Raw genomic sequence first — 15,003 nt, 5'->3', positions numbered from 1 at the left:
TCGAGTGATCCTCCTGAGTAACTGGGACTATAGGCATGCACCACCACTTCCAGCTAATTTTTTTTCTTTTTTGAGACGGAGTCTCACTCTGTCACCCAGGCCGGAGTACAGTGGTGCAATCTCAGCTCACTGCAAGCTCTCCACCTCCCGGGATCACGCCATTCTCCTGCCTCAGCCCCCTGAGTAGCTGGGACTACAGGCGCCCGCCACCACACCCAGCTAATTTTTTTGTATTTTTAGTAGAGACGGGGTTTCACCATGTTAACCAGGATGGTCTCCATCTCCTGACCTCGTGATCTGCCCGCCTTGGCCTCCCAAAGTGCTGAGATTACAGGCGTGAGCCACTGTGCCTGGCCTTTTTTTTTTTTTTTTTTTTTTGAGATGGGTCTCACTGTATTGCCCAGGCCCAGGCTGGTCTCTAACTCCTGGCCTTAAGGGATCCTCCTGAGAGAGGAGAAAGAAAGAAGCTGGTCAGGCAGGCAGTTAGGGTGGGTCCTTGGTTGAATTCTTCAAAACAAAAGAACACCCTGCAGACACAGATAAGAGAGCTTGCACAGAGGCGCTTGTCTAAGACATTCCCACAGCTACATAGATAAGAAAGGCTACACAGGAGACTTGCCCACACATGCCCAGCCGCATAGATAAGAAAGGCTACACAGGAGACTTGCCCACACCTGCCCACAATGCAAAATTCTGTCCTCTGACACATGCACAGTAAGGGGAAAAAAAGCAATATAGAGTAACTCAAGCTAAGGGCCCACATGTGCACTCGGAGGATGGGGTGGAGCTACCAGAAATTCGTGCCACTTGCAAATGAGATGCCAAGCCCTCATCTGTTTCTTATAAAAGCTTTTGCATTCAACTGTAAATACAGCAACCCTCTTCTGGGTCCCCTCTCCTCTTGAGAGCTTTCTTTCTTTCTTTTTTTTTTTGAGACCGAGTTTCACTCTTGTTGCCCAGGCTGGAGTGCAATGGCGTGATCTCGGCTCACCGCAACCTCCGCCTCCCAGGTTCAAGCGATTCTCCTGCCTCAGCCTCCTGAGTAGCTGGGATTACAGGTGGGATTACAGGCATGCACCACCACGCCCGGCTAATTTTGTATTTTTAGTAGAGACAGCTTTTCTCCATGTTGGTCAGGCTGGTCTTGAACTCCCCACCTCAGGTGATCCACCCACCTTGGCCTCCCGAAGTGCTGGGATTACAGGCGTGAGCCACCATGCCCGGCCAAGCCTTCTTCTTTTGCTTGTTTTTTTTTTTTTTTTTTGAGACGGAGTCTCGCTCTGTCGCCCAGGCTGGAGTGCAGTGGCGCGATCTCGGCTCACTGCAAGCTCCGCCTCCCGGGTTCACGCCATTCTCCTGCCTCAGCCTCCCGAGTAGCTGGGACTACAGGCGCCCGCTACCACGCCCGGCTAATTTTTTGTATTTTTAGTAGAGACGGGGTTTCACCTTGTTAGCCAGGATGGTCTCGATCTCCTGACCTCGTGATCCGCCCGCCTCGGCCTCCCAAAGTGCTGGGATTACAGGCGTGAGCCACCGCGCCCGGCCTTCTTTTGCTTGTTAAACTTTTGCTCCAACCTCACCCTTTGTGTCCGTTCTCCTTATTTCTCTTGGTTATCAGACAAAGAACTCCAGGTGATACCTCACAACAAGAGACCGCTACATTGTGGTGCACTGGGGAGACTGTAACACTCCCTCATTGGCCTGGCATAGTGAGGAATTACAGGTGTGAGCTATTGCACCTCGGCAAACTTTTAATTTTAGAATAGTTTTAGATTTACAGGAAAGTTGGAAAGACAGTATAGAGTTCCTACACACTGCACACCTAGTTTCCCCCTCTATTATCATCTTACATTAATATGGCACTGTTGACCTAAAAGAATAAAATGAAGCAAAGTTAATATAGATAATTTATTTAGACCAAGGTTGAAAACCATAGCCCAGAGTCATAGGTTCCAGTTGCCCTGAATATATGCTCTAATTAGCAGCAATTACAAGAGAGTTTTTAAGAGGTTAAAAAGAAAAAAGAAGGGAGAGGATAGTTCCTAAATTGTTTACCAATAACTTATTGGTTCATTAAAATAACATAAGCTATCGATTGGCTATAATTGTTCTTTGTATCACAAATTCCAGGAACGTGAAAATAATGAGTGAGGATCACATTGTGCAACTTGTGGCAACATTTTAGATAATTTATCAGCTAACCTGAAGCTAAAGGGAAGAAGAAAAACAAAATACCTTTAAACAATTTCCACCAGCCATGGGTTGGGGGATGTAACTGAGTCTCAGGCTCATGTCTCTCTCTGTGCCTGATAAATTTTGCAGACCCCCACGTTCCTCACATGCTCTGAGCCACTTTTTTTTCTTTTCTTTTTTTTTTTTTGAGATGAGGTTTCACCCTGTCACCCAGGCTGGAGTGCAGTGGTGCAATCACGGCTCACTGAACCTCGAGCCTCTCAAGTAGCTGGGACTACAGGTGTGCATGATCATACCCATGAATTTTTGTATTTTTTGTAGAGACAGGACTTCACCATGTTGTCCAGGCTAGTCTCGAACTCCTGGTCTCAAGCAATCCACTCGCCTTGGCCTCCCAAAGTGCTGGGATTACAGGTGTGAGCCACTGTGCCCGGCAGTCAGACTTTTTCCATTTTTGATGATCTTAACACTTGGGAGGAGTATTGGTCAAATATTTTGTAGAACGTGCTTTGACTGGGATTTATCTAAGTTTTTCTCATGATTAGGGTTATGGAGTTTTGGAAGGAAGACCACAGAAATAAAGTGACATTCTCATCACATCATATCAAGCAACATGACTTATTACTATTGATTTTAAGCTTGATCACCTAAGCTTACGTTTGCCAGGTTTCAACACTATAAATTTAGTCCTTTATCTCCCTCTTCCCATCCTATACTCTTTGGAATGAAGTTTCTATTCACAGCCTACACTGAAGGAGTGGGGAGTTGTAATCCACGTCCTTGAGGGATAAGTGTCTAAATAAATTATTTGGAATTCTGCAAGAAAGATTTTTCTCTTTGCCTTTTGTTTATTCAGTTAATTAATTTACATCAGTATATACTTATGAATATTTATTTTGTACTTTGGGTTTTAATCCAATAATGCTTCGTTTTGTTGCTCAAATGGTTCCAATTTTGGTCACTGGTAGTTCTTTCAGTTGGTTCCTATGTCTCTTTGACACACTCCCAACATGTGTTTTTGTCTGAACCCTTCCTTTCCTTCTGATACTACAAGATTCTCCAGGCTCACATTATATATTTCCTGCCCCAACCTAAAATCAGCCATATTTCCAAGGAGCCTGGTTTATTTTATTACAAAGATGTTTCATATCTAAAATTGTTATTTCTGGCCAGGTGCAGTGGCTCACGCCTGTAATTCCAGCACTTTGGGAGGCCGAGGCGGGTGGATCACCTGAGGTCAGGAGTTCGAGACCAGCCTGGCCAACCTGGTGAAACCCCACCTCTACTAGAAATACAAAAAATTAGCTGGGTGTGGTGGCAGACACCTGTAATCCCAGCTACTCAGGAGGCTGAGGCAGGAGAATCGCTTGAATCCAGGAGGCAGACGTTGCAGTGAACCCAGGAGGCAGAGGTTGCAGTGAGCCAAGATAGTGCCACTGCACTTCAGCCTGGGCAACAAGAGTGAAACTCTGTATCTAAAAAAAAAATAAATTGTTATTTCTTTGCATTCTATCTGTATCTCCCACTAGAACATTAGGCCTTTAAAATCAGGACCTTTTCTGCTTGTTCACTGCTATATCTTCATTACCTAGAATAGTATCTGGCACACAGGAGGATATCAATAAAAGCTTAGTGAATGAATGAATAAATTAGTAAGGCCAAGTATTGTGCCTTTTTACATATGCATTCTTCATGATGTTATAAGAATTTGATCAAAGTATAGTTGTATTGATAGATGGATACATGGATGTATGAATGGACAAATGAATGAATTAATACTAACCAGATGGACACATTATTGGGTGTATGAATGAATTGAGAAACAGATGGATGGATGTTGCTGCCACTACTATACTCTCTAGTTATTCAGGTGAAAACTAGGTGATGAGGGGCCTCATTCATAATTCCTTCCACACTTTCACCTCCCACATCCAATCAACCACTAAGTCCTGCCAATTTTGCATCTCAAATATTTCTCAAACCCATTTCCTTTTCTTCATTTCAACTACTATTGCCCTGCTGCAGGCTCTCTTCCTCTCTTGCCTGGATGCTTCTGCAGCCATGTAACTCATCTGTCCACTTTCTGCCATGTTTCCATCCCCACCACCATCTACATTCCTGCCAGAAGAATTATTGTAAAATACTGTTATGCCTGTGTCACTCCCTTGCTTAAACCCTTAGGGTAAAGTCTAAGCTCCTTAGCATGATATAAAGTGCCTGTGATGACCTGGACCTTGGCCACTCCTCCACCCTCTCTTCTTGCCATTCTCCACCTTGCATTGATTTGTGTGCCTCAGAAATACCAAACTGCTTGTAGTTCCCATCAGGGATCATGCTGCTTCTCTGCTCTGTCCTTTGCTCGTACTAGTCTCCCTGCCTAGAATGCCCTTTCCTCACATCTGGAGCTCAGAAGTCTTACTGGCTTCAAGTTGTTGAAAGCATGTATTTTTGCAGTTGTGGTTATGCTTATTAGGAGAGCCAGGGCAAGGGCACAAAATTTAAGTTGTTTTGCAAGTGAGAATGAACACATCTTTAAATCTTGTGCCCTGGGTGCTTTACTTATCCTAGTCTTGGCCCAGTCTTGTCTCCTAGGCTGGGAGCTTCCAGAGGGCAAGAATTTTGTCTTTTATCCCTGTAATCCCTAGCACAATGACTGGTGTCTAGTAGGTACTCAGTGTAAATGTTTGTGGGAGGGAAAGAGGGAAGATGAATCAGAAGTCCACTGCTTGGGCCTTCAAATCTAGACTCTGTCTCTTACTAGCTATGGGAATCTGACCAAGTTATTTCTCTGCTTCTCAGTTTTCTTATCTGTGGAAAAGAAATAATAACATCTCCATTACAGGATTTTTTTTCCATTTTAAGGAAAATTACCCGTTTCACCAAAATTTTCAAACTTATTGCTTTAAAATATTTTTTTACAGTGTTCTCTTATGACTTTAAATTTTCTGCTATACAGCTATATCTTCTTTTAAATGTTTTTTTTTTTTTTTTTTTTTTTTTGGAGATGGAGCCTTGCTCTGTTGTCCAGGCTGGAGTGCAGTGGCGTGATCTCAGCTCGCTGCAACCTCCGCCTCCCGGGTTCAAGCTATTCTCATGTCTCAGCCTCCCAAGTAGCTGGAATTACAGGGGCCAGTCACCATGCCTGGCTAATTTTTGTATTTTTAGTAGAGACGAGGTTTCGCCATGTTGGTCAGGCTGGTCTGGAACTCCCAACCTCAGGTAGTCTGCCTGCTTCATTCAGCCTTCCAAAATGCTGGGATTACAGGCATGAGCCACCGCGCCCAGCCCTTTTAAATGTTTTGATATTGTTTATCTATGCCTTTTTCTTGACTGAGCTTGTCAAAAAAATTTTGTTGATTCTCTATAGTATTTCTATGTTTTTTTCTGCTCTTGTCGCTCAGGCTAGAGTGCAATGGTGCAATCTTGGCTCACTGCAACCTTTGCCTCCCGGGTTCAAGCTATTCTCCTGCCTTAGCCTCCTGAGTAGCTGGGATTACAGGTGCCCGCCACCATGCCCAGCTAATTTCTGTATATTTATTTATTTATTTATTTATTTATTTATTTATTTATGAGATGGAGTTTCACTCTGTCACCCAGTTGGAGTACAATGGCGCAATCTCAGCTCACTGCAACTTCTGCTTCTAGCAATTCTCCTGCCTCAGCCTCCCAAGTAGCTGGGATTACAGGTGCATGCTACCACACCCGGCTAATTTTTGTATTTTTAGTAGAGACAGGGTTTCCTCAGGCTAGCCAAGCTGGTTTCGAACTCCTGACCTCAGGTGATCCGCCTGCCTCAGCCTCCCAAAGTGCTGGGATTACAGCAGTGAGCCACCGCACCCAGCTTGCTTTTCTCATATGAGCATTTAAAGCCATACATTTCCCTTTAAATACAAGTTTGTCTTCTATGGCTATTTTTTATTTAGAAATATCTGCATTTTGATTTATTTTTTATCCCATAATTCTAGAAATGTTTCCAAATGCATGGGGCTGTTGTTATCTTTCTGTCATTGAGTTCTATTTTGTTGTGTTTCTTTTTGCTTTTTTTGAAATGGTGTGTCATTCTGTCACCCAGAATAGAGTGCAGTGGCGTGATCACAGCTCACTGCAGTCTTGACCTCCTGGGCTCAAGCAATCCTCCCACCTCAGCCTCCTGAGTAGCTGGGATCACAGGCATGTGCCACCATACCCAGCTAAATTTTTTTATTTTTAATTAATTAATTTTTATTTTTATTTATTTATCTTATCTCCCTAAGCTGATGAAGGATTTTTTATTTTTTGTAGAGATGAGGTCTCACTATGTTGCCCTGGCTGGTCTCAAACTCCTGGGCTCATGATTCCCCCACCCCAGCTTCCCAAAGAGCTGGGATTACAGGCATGAGCCACTGTGCCTGGCCTTGAATTCTATTTTGATTAGAGAAAGTGGTCAATTTGTTACAATAGGTAGCTTAGTCAGGCATAAGCAGGGCAGGAGAGGGCTGCTCTCATACAACAGGAATGCCAGGTGACCATCAGGTGATGGTTAGGCAGTTGTTAACTGTCTCTCTAAACAAATAGTTGGTGACAGCCAGTGCCAGGGAAAGGCAGTCTCCTAATATATAGAAAACACTTGAAACTGCTATCAGCGGCTTTCTGGTAAGATCTCAGGAGTTGAGCGAGGGGGCCCAAGAATGCAGTTTAAGAGGCAAAATGGTGGAGTTTAACTGGTATATGACCTTGCTCTAGAGATGCTAGACTGGTAAGGGAAGAACGCCTCAAGTGAGCATGCTATGACTCCAGTAAGCACACTGCATATGCTCCCTTCCCAAGTGCTAGCAGTCCACTGCTCACGCGGACAGCCCACCCCAAGGCCCCAAGGGAAGAATCAGAGGAGAAATAACTCAAGACCCTACAAGTATGGCAACATATAAAACCCATGCATGTGATCTCTCAAGTGTACTTTACTTCCTTTGTGTTTTTTTTTTGAGAAAGAGTCTCAAATATTGGCTCACTGCAACCTCTGCCTCCCGGGTTCAAGCGATTCTCGTGTCTCAGCCTCCCAGGTAGCTGGGATTACAGGCGCACATCACCATGATCAGCTAGTTTTTGTATTTTTAGTAGAGACAGGGTTTCACCATGTTGGCCAGGCTGGTCTTGAACTCCTGACCTCAGGTGATCTGCCCACCTCTGCCTCCCAAAGTGCTGGGATTACAGGCGTGAGCCCCCACACCCAGTGCCAAATGTATTTTTATTTATTTATTTATTTTTTTTTTTATTGATCATTCTTGGGTGTTTCTCGCAGAGGGGGATTTGGCAGGGTCATAGGACAATAGTGGAGGGAAGGTCAGCAGATAAACAAGTGAACAAAGGTCTCTGGTTTTCCTAGGCAGAGGACCCTGGGGCCCTCCACAGTGTTTGTGTCCCTGATCAGGGAGTGGTGATGACTCTTTTTTTTTTTTTTTGAGACGGAGTCTCGCTCTGTCACCCAGGCTGGAGTGCAGTGGCGGGATCTCGGCTCACTGCAACCTCCGCCTCCCGGGTTCACGCCATTCTCCTGCCTCAGCCTCCCAAGTAGCTGGGACTACAGGCGCCGGCCACTACGCCCGGCTAATTTTTTGTATTTTTAGTAGAGACGGGTTTTCACCGTTTTAGCCGGGATGGTCTCGATCTCCTGACCTTGTGATCCGCCTGCCTCAGCCTCCCAAAGTGCTGGGATTACAGGCGTGAGCCACCGCGCCCGGCCGGTGATGACTCTTAACGAGCATGCTGCCTTCAAGCATCTGTTTAACAAAGCACATCTTGCACCGCCCTTAATCCATTTAACCCTGAGTGGACACAGCACATGTTTCAGAGAGCACAGGGTTGGGGGTAAGGTCACAGATCAACAGGATCCCAAGGCAGAAGAATTTTTCTCAGTACAGAACAAAATGAAAAGTCTCCAATGTCTACTTCTTTCTACACAGACACGGCAACCATCCGATTTCTCAATCTTTTCCCCACCTTTCCCCCCTTTCCACTCCACAAAAGCGCCATTGTCATCATGGCCCGTTCTCAATGAGCTGTTGGGTACACCTCCCAGACGGGGTGGTGGCCGGGCAGAGGGGCTCCTCACTTCCCAGTAGGGGCGGCGGGGCAGAGGCGCCCCTCACCTCCCGGACGGGGCGGCTGGCCGGGCGGGGGGCTGACCCCCCCACCTCCCTCCCGGACGGGGTGGCTGCCGGGCGGAGGGGCTCCTCACTTCTTAGACGGGGCGGTTGCCAGGCGGAGGGTCTCCTCACTTCTCAGACGGGGCAGCTGGGCAGAGACGCTCCTCACCTCCCAGATGGGGTCACGGCCGGGCAGAGGCGCTCCTCACATCCCAGACAGGGCGGCAGGGCAGAGGCACTCCCCACATCTCAGATGATGGGCGGCCGGACAGAGACGCTCCTCACTTCCTAGATGGGATGGCGGCCGGGCAGAGACGCTTCTCACTTTCCAGACTGGGCAGCCAGGCAGAGGGGCTCCTCACGTCCCAGACGATGGGCAGCCAGGCAGAGACACTCCTCACTTCCCGGACGGGGTAGCGGCCGGGCAGAGGCTGCACTCTCGGCACTTTGGGAGGCCAAGGCAGGCTGCTGGGAGGTGGAGGTTGTAGCGAGCCGAGATCACGCCACTGCACTCCAGCCTGGGCACTATTGAGCACTGAGTGAACCAGACTCCGTCTGCAATCCCGCACCTCGGGAGGCCGAGGCTGGCGGATCACTCGCCGTTAGGAGCTGGAGACCAGCCCGGCCAACACAGCGAAACCCCGTCTCCACCAAAAAAATATGAAAACCAGTCAGGCGTGGCAGCGCACGCCTGCAATCGCAGGCACTTGGCAGGCTGAGGCAGGAGAATCAGGCAGGGAGGCTGCAGTGAGCCGAGATGGCAGCAGTACAGTCCAGCTTCGGCTCAGCATCAGAGGGAGACTGTGGAAAGAGAGGGAGAGGGAGAGGGAGAGGCTATTTTACTTAGTTTCATTCCTGCTCTAAAGTTTTGTAATAAACTTCCACTCCTGCTCTAAAACTTGCCTCGGTCTCTCCTTCTGTCTTATGCCCCTTGGTCAAATTATTTCCTCTGAGGAGGCAAGAATCAACATTGCTGCAGACCCATACAGATTCGCCACTGGTAATATACTCTGGTGCCATGTGACTTGTGACTCAGATATGTTCGGCTGCTAACAAATTGATTTTTTGGTTTCTGATGAGATGTGCTTTCAGGCCTAGCATGTGATCAGTTTTCTCAGATGTTCCATGGATTCTTGAAAGAATAATTGTTGGCTCCCTCTCAGGGTTATGGTGAGAATATATTAGATAATACATATAAAGCACTTAAAAAGTTGCTCACCACTTAGTAAAATCTCAAGAAATGGTGGATCTCATTGTTGATGTTGTTATTATTATTGGTGAATAACAGTCTCAGTCATTGGTCTGTGTGTCCCTAGGTGCCCTGAGAATTGGGCAGTTGAGCCCTCTCCCACACGTCAGTGCTCAACAAACTGTGTGCAGTGCCTACACTAACCATAGGGTCAATTAATCTTTAATACACACAGAAAACATGACTGAGCTTACTAGAGTAGAAAAAGTTCAGAGTTTGAGTGAGACTGCCCTGTGTTGGGTCCCTGGCCTGCCCCTTGCTAGCTGTGTGATATTTCTGCTCCCCCAAACTCCATTTTCCTTATGTGTAAGAATGAGTATGATTTTGGGCTTGCAGAGTTGTTGGGAAGATTAATGTGAAAGTCTTTAGCATAGGGCTAGACACAAAGTAGACCTTTTTTTTTTTTTTTTTTTTTTGAGATGGAGTCTTGCTCTGTTGTCCGGGCTGGAGTGCAGTGGTGCCATCCCAGCTCACTGCGACTTCTGCCTCCCAGGTTCAAGCGATTCTCCTGCCTCAGCCTCCCAAGTATGTGGGATTACAGGCACCCGCCACCACACCCAGCTAATTTTTGTATTTTTGGTAGAGACAGGGTTTCACCATGTTGGCCAGGCTGGTCTCGAACTCCTGACCTCAAGTGATCCACCCACCTAGGACCCCGATGTGCTAGGATTACAGGCATGAGCCACCATGCCCAAACATGAAGTAGCCCTTTCACAAGTGTTAGTTTATTTCTTTTTCCTTCTACTGAGCCTGCAGGGACAGAGAGGAAGTGAAGTTAGAGTTGTAATGGTACAACCATTTCCATTCTCTTTTCCTGGACTTCTCTCCCAAGGAAGCCTCTTTCCCAGCTCTGTAAGACTGTACATCTCTGATGCCCCTCCCTGGAGAGCAGCGTAAAACCAGCTGTGACTACAGAGAAGGGAGAGAGAAGAGGATGTTGGAACATGCAAATCAGTTCCCAGCTTCCTGCTGAGTTAGTAGGACACCTGCTTGGACAGAATTTTCATTTTATTTCCTGTCTGGAGCAGCCCAATTAATTTTTCAGGCCGTGAGTTGCCACACATCACAGATGACAGCTCCTCAAACCCTCAGAGCAGCATCCTCCTCCTCGGTGGCCACACAAAGTCAGGATTTGCCCCTACCCTTCCTGGCATTCCCAGATTAGAGCAACATCTCAGGGGCACCCCTGCCTTGCCCTGGATCTGTTGCTGAGCCTCCTTTTAACACGAACTGTGGCTTCTACTACCTTCTCTCCTTTAAGCCTGAGTCCCAGTATACAAAGAGGATTAGCTGATTTTCTTACCTTTGAGTCCAGGTGGAGGCATGAAGCACAGAAGTGTGGGGAACAGAACAAGGGACGCTCCAGACAGTATGTTTCTAAACTGCTCTTGGACAAATAGAGTCATTTTCCCTCCATTCTCACTACTACCTCCAGTTCCTTTGCCTCTGGTCATTTTGTCCCTCCTACTCTAATTTCCACAAGAAGATAAGACAAGGTTCGTTTTCTCTGTTTCTGCCTCTTGCCTCCAGGCTACTAGAAAAAACCACGAAACTATGTTCACTAGCTCCAATGTCTGATTTTCAGTTGTGATCAGGCCTTCAATGCTACTTAGTAATCTTTTCTTAAAAATATAGAATGCTTCACAAATTTGCTGTCATCCTTGCTCAGGGACCATGCTAATCTCTCTGTACCTTTCTAATTTTCTTTCTTTCTTTTTTTTTTTGAGACGGAGTCCCGCTCTGTCGCCAGACCAGAGTGCAGTGGTGAGATCTCGGCTCACTGCAACCTTTGCCTCCCAGGCTCAAACGATTCTCCTGCCTCAGCCTCCTGAGTAGCTGGGACTACAGGCGCCCGCCACCACATCCAGCTAATTTTTGTATTTTTAGTAGAGACAGTGTTTCACCATGTTAGCCAGGATGGTCTCGATCTCTTGCCCTCGGGATCTGCCTGCCTCGGCCTCCCAAAGTGTTGGGATTACAGATGTGAGCCACTGTGCCTGGCTTTTTGTTTTGTTTTGTTTTGTTTTTAAGAGACAGGGTCTTGCTCTGTTGCTCAAATGAGTGCAGTGGCACAATCATAGCTCACTGCAGCCTTGAACTCTTGGGCTCAACCAATCCTCTCACCTCAGCCTCCTGAGTAGCTAGGACTACAGTTGTGTGCCACCACACCTGTCTATTTAAAATTTTTTTTGTAGAGTCAGGGCTGGTCTCAGGCTCATGGCCTCAAATGATCCTCCTGCCTCAGACTTCCTAACTGCTGGGATTACAGGCATGAGCCACCACATCTGGCTGGTAATCCTTATAATAGATTGTCCCCTGTGTACAATTTGTTTTGTCCTCCTGTTACGATCATTTGAGGTTGTGTCCAGTTTTAGCTGTTGTAAATAAAGTTGCTATGGGCTGGACAGGGTGGCTCACACCTGTAATCCCTGCACCTTGAGAGGCTGAAGTGGGAGGATTGCTTGAAGCCAGGTGTTTGAGACCAGCATGTGCATCAAAGCAAGACTCCTATCTATATTTTTAAAAAGTTGTTATGGACATTCTCATGCATGTCTTTTTGTGGACATATGTTTTTATTTTTCTTGGGTAAAATATCTAAGAGTGGATTTGCCCTTCATAGGATAGGTGTAAGTTTAGTTTTATAAGAAAGTGAGGCTGGATGCAGTGGCTCACACCTGTAATCCCAGCCCTTTGGGAGGCCGAGGTGGGAGGATCACTTGAGGCCAGGAGTTGGAGACTCAGAGTCTCCATCACAGTGAGACAACAGAGTGAGACTGCCATCTTTACAAAAAAAAAAAAAGTTTTTTTCTTAAATTACCTGAACATGGTTGTGTGTACCTGTAGTCCTAGCTACTCGGGAGGTTAAAGTGGGATAATTGCTTAAACCCAGGAGTTCAAGACAGCAGTAAGCTATGATTGAATCACTACACTGCAGTCCAGGCAACAAAGCAAAACCCTGTCTCAAAAAAAAAAAAAAAAAGTAACAAAAGGCTGGGCATGGTGGCTCATGCCTGTAATCCCAGCACTTTGGGAGGCCAAAACAGGTGGATCACCTGAGGTCAGGAGCTGAAGACCAGCCTGGCCAACATGGTGAAACCCCCTCTCTACTAAAAATAAAAATAAAATAAATAAATAAATAAATAAATAAATAAATAAAAAGCTGGGCATGGTGGCAGGTGCCTGTAATCCCAGCTACTCGGGAGGCTGAGGCAGGAGAATCACTTGAACCTGGGAGGTGGAGATCGTGCCATTGCACTCCAGTCTGGGCAACAAGAGCGAGACTCCATCTAAAAAAAAAATTAAAAAAAAACAAACAAACCCAAAAAACAAAGTCTGGGCACGGTGGCTCATGGCCTGTAATCCCAGCACTTTGGGAGGCCGAGGCAGGGGGATCACGAGGTCAGGATTTTGAGACCAGCCTGGCCAACATAATGAAACCTCGTTTCTACTAAAAATACAACAAAAAAATTAGCTGGGTGTGGTGGCAGGCGCCTGTAGTCCCAGCTACTTGGGAGGCTGAGGCAGGAGAATCGTTTGAACCCGGGAGGCGGAGGTTGCAGTGAGCCGAGACTGCACCATTGCACTCCAGCCTGGGTGACAGAGCGAGATTCTCTGTCTCAAACAAACAAACAAAAAAAAGTGACAATGATTTTCCAAAATGGTGTACTGGTTAAGGCCCTTATTAAAGAGGAAGATCCCTGGGCTCTGTGCTGAATTTACTGAATCAGAATATTATCAGAATAAAGGACATAAAGAAGCTCCCATGTAATTTTTCTTTTTTTTTTTTTTTGACACATGGTCTTGCTCTGTTGCCCAGGCTGGAGTGCAATGGCGCGATCACGGCTCACTGCAGCCTCAACTTCCTGGGCTCAAGTGATCCTTCCATCTCAGCCTCCCAGGTAGCTGGGACCACAGGCACACGCCAACACACCTGGCTAAGTTTTTTAAATTTTTATTTATTTTTTGTAGAGACAGGGTCTCCCTTTTTTGCTCAGGCTGGTCTCGAACCCCTGGATTCAAGCAATCCTCCTGCCTCACCCTCTCAGTGTTAGCATTACAGGCATGTAAACTTATCACCATTGCGCCTAGCCCCATGTGATTTTAATGCAGGTGGTTTTTTGACTGGCATTTAGAAACCACTGGAGAATATCTTAGTATCTTTACTTTCTTGTTTTTCGTTCCTTCCTCAATAACTAATTCTGGCCACCATGTATTGTGGTTGTAAATAATGGAATAATTGACCAACAGTGAATTAAGTAGTAAGGACATTTATTTATCTCATATAACAAGAAACCCAGAGATAGGTGGGTCCAGGTTTGGTTAATTCAGCCATTAGTAATGTCATCAAATAGCCAGGCTTTTCTCATTTTCCTCTTCACTGTCCTCAAAGTATTTGCTCCATTCTTGGGCTTATTTCTCATAGTCCTAAGATGGCTGTCACAGCTCTGAATAGCATGAGCTCACGTGGCAACTCCCAAGGCAGAAAAAAGCAAGGGATGGCCAGCAATGGTGTCTCACGCCTGTAATCCCAGCACAGTTGGGAGACTGAGGCGGGCAGATCACTTGAGGTCAGGAGTTTGAGACCAGCCTGGCCAACATGGTGAAACCCCGTCTCTACTAAAAATACAAAAATTAGCTGGGTATCATGGTGCATGCCTGTAATCCCAGCTACTTGGGAGGCTGAGGCATGAGAATCACTTGAACCTGGGAGGTAGAGGTTGCAGTGAGTCAAGATCATGCCACTGGACTCCAGCCTGGGTGACAGAGGGAGACTCCATCTCAAAAAAAGAAAAAAAAGAAGGAATTAAAGATTTCTCCCTAAGCATATTTATTGCATTAGGGAGGAAAATCCTTTGCAGAATCTTCCAGAAAACTTCCTCCTAAGTTCCATTATCCAGAACTGGGTCACATGTCCACCCCTAGGTTTAAAGGAGGTGGGGGGAGGGGTGTTGGCAAAGTATCTAGCAGTTTTGAGGCCTTATAATGTGAGGCAGTCCCTGCCAGTAAGTGTTGGGAACAGGCCCCCAAATCTGGCCATAAACTGGCCCCCAAACCGGCCATAAACAAAATCTCTGTAGCACTGTGATATGCTCGTGATGGCCATGACACCCACACTGGAAGGTTGTGGGTTTACCAGAATGAGGGCAAGGAACACCTGGCCCACCCAGGACAGAAAACCACTTAAGGTGTTTTTAAACCACAAACAATAGCATGAACGATCTGTGCCTTAAGGACATGTTCCTGCTGCAGATAACTAGCCAGAGCCCATCCCTTTATTTCGGCCCATCCCTTCATTTCCCGTAAGGAATATTTTAGTTAATCTACAATCTACAGAAACAATGCTTATCACTGGATCGCTGTCAATAAATATGTGGGTAAATCTCTGTTTGAGGATCTCAGCTCTGAAGGCTGTGAGACCGCTGGTTTCCCACTCCACAC

General features: G+C 46.3%; 1 pseudogene, besides 2 other annotated features; it reads right to left on the bottom strand.

The window, feature by feature from the left end:
- Positions 678–1,177: an enhancer, noted in NCBI's record as "H3K27ac hESC enhancer chr5:138567539-138568038 (GRCh37/hg19 assembly coordinates)". NCBI's record gives its function as "activates a minimal SCP1, AML or CMV promoter by ChIP-STARR-seq in primed H9 embryonic stem cells {active_cell/tissue: H9 hESC(primed)}" and the evidence as "EXISTENCE:reporter gene assay evidence [ECO:0000049][PMID:30033119]".
- Positions 8,552–9,398: an enhancer, noted in NCBI's record as "H3K27ac-H3K4me1 hESC enhancer chr5:138559318-138560164 (GRCh37/hg19 assembly coordinates)". NCBI's record gives its function as "activates a minimal SCP1, AML or CMV promoter by ChIP-STARR-seq in primed H9 embryonic stem cells {active_cell/tissue: H9 hESC(primed)}" and the evidence as "EXISTENCE:reporter gene assay evidence [ECO:0000049][PMID:30033119]".
- RNU6-572P (RNA, U6 small nuclear 572, pseudogene) lies at positions 11,190–11,269 on the bottom strand (annotated as a pseudogene).

The sequence above is a fragment of the Homo sapiens genome, chromosome 5 (assembly GCF_000001405.40).
Source record: "Homo sapiens chromosome 5, GRCh38.p14 Primary Assembly".
In the NCBI taxonomy this organism is placed as follows: domain Eukaryota; kingdom Metazoa; phylum Chordata; class Mammalia; order Primates; family Hominidae; genus Homo; species Homo sapiens.
This window is presented reverse-complemented; position numbering and strand designations above follow the sequence as displayed.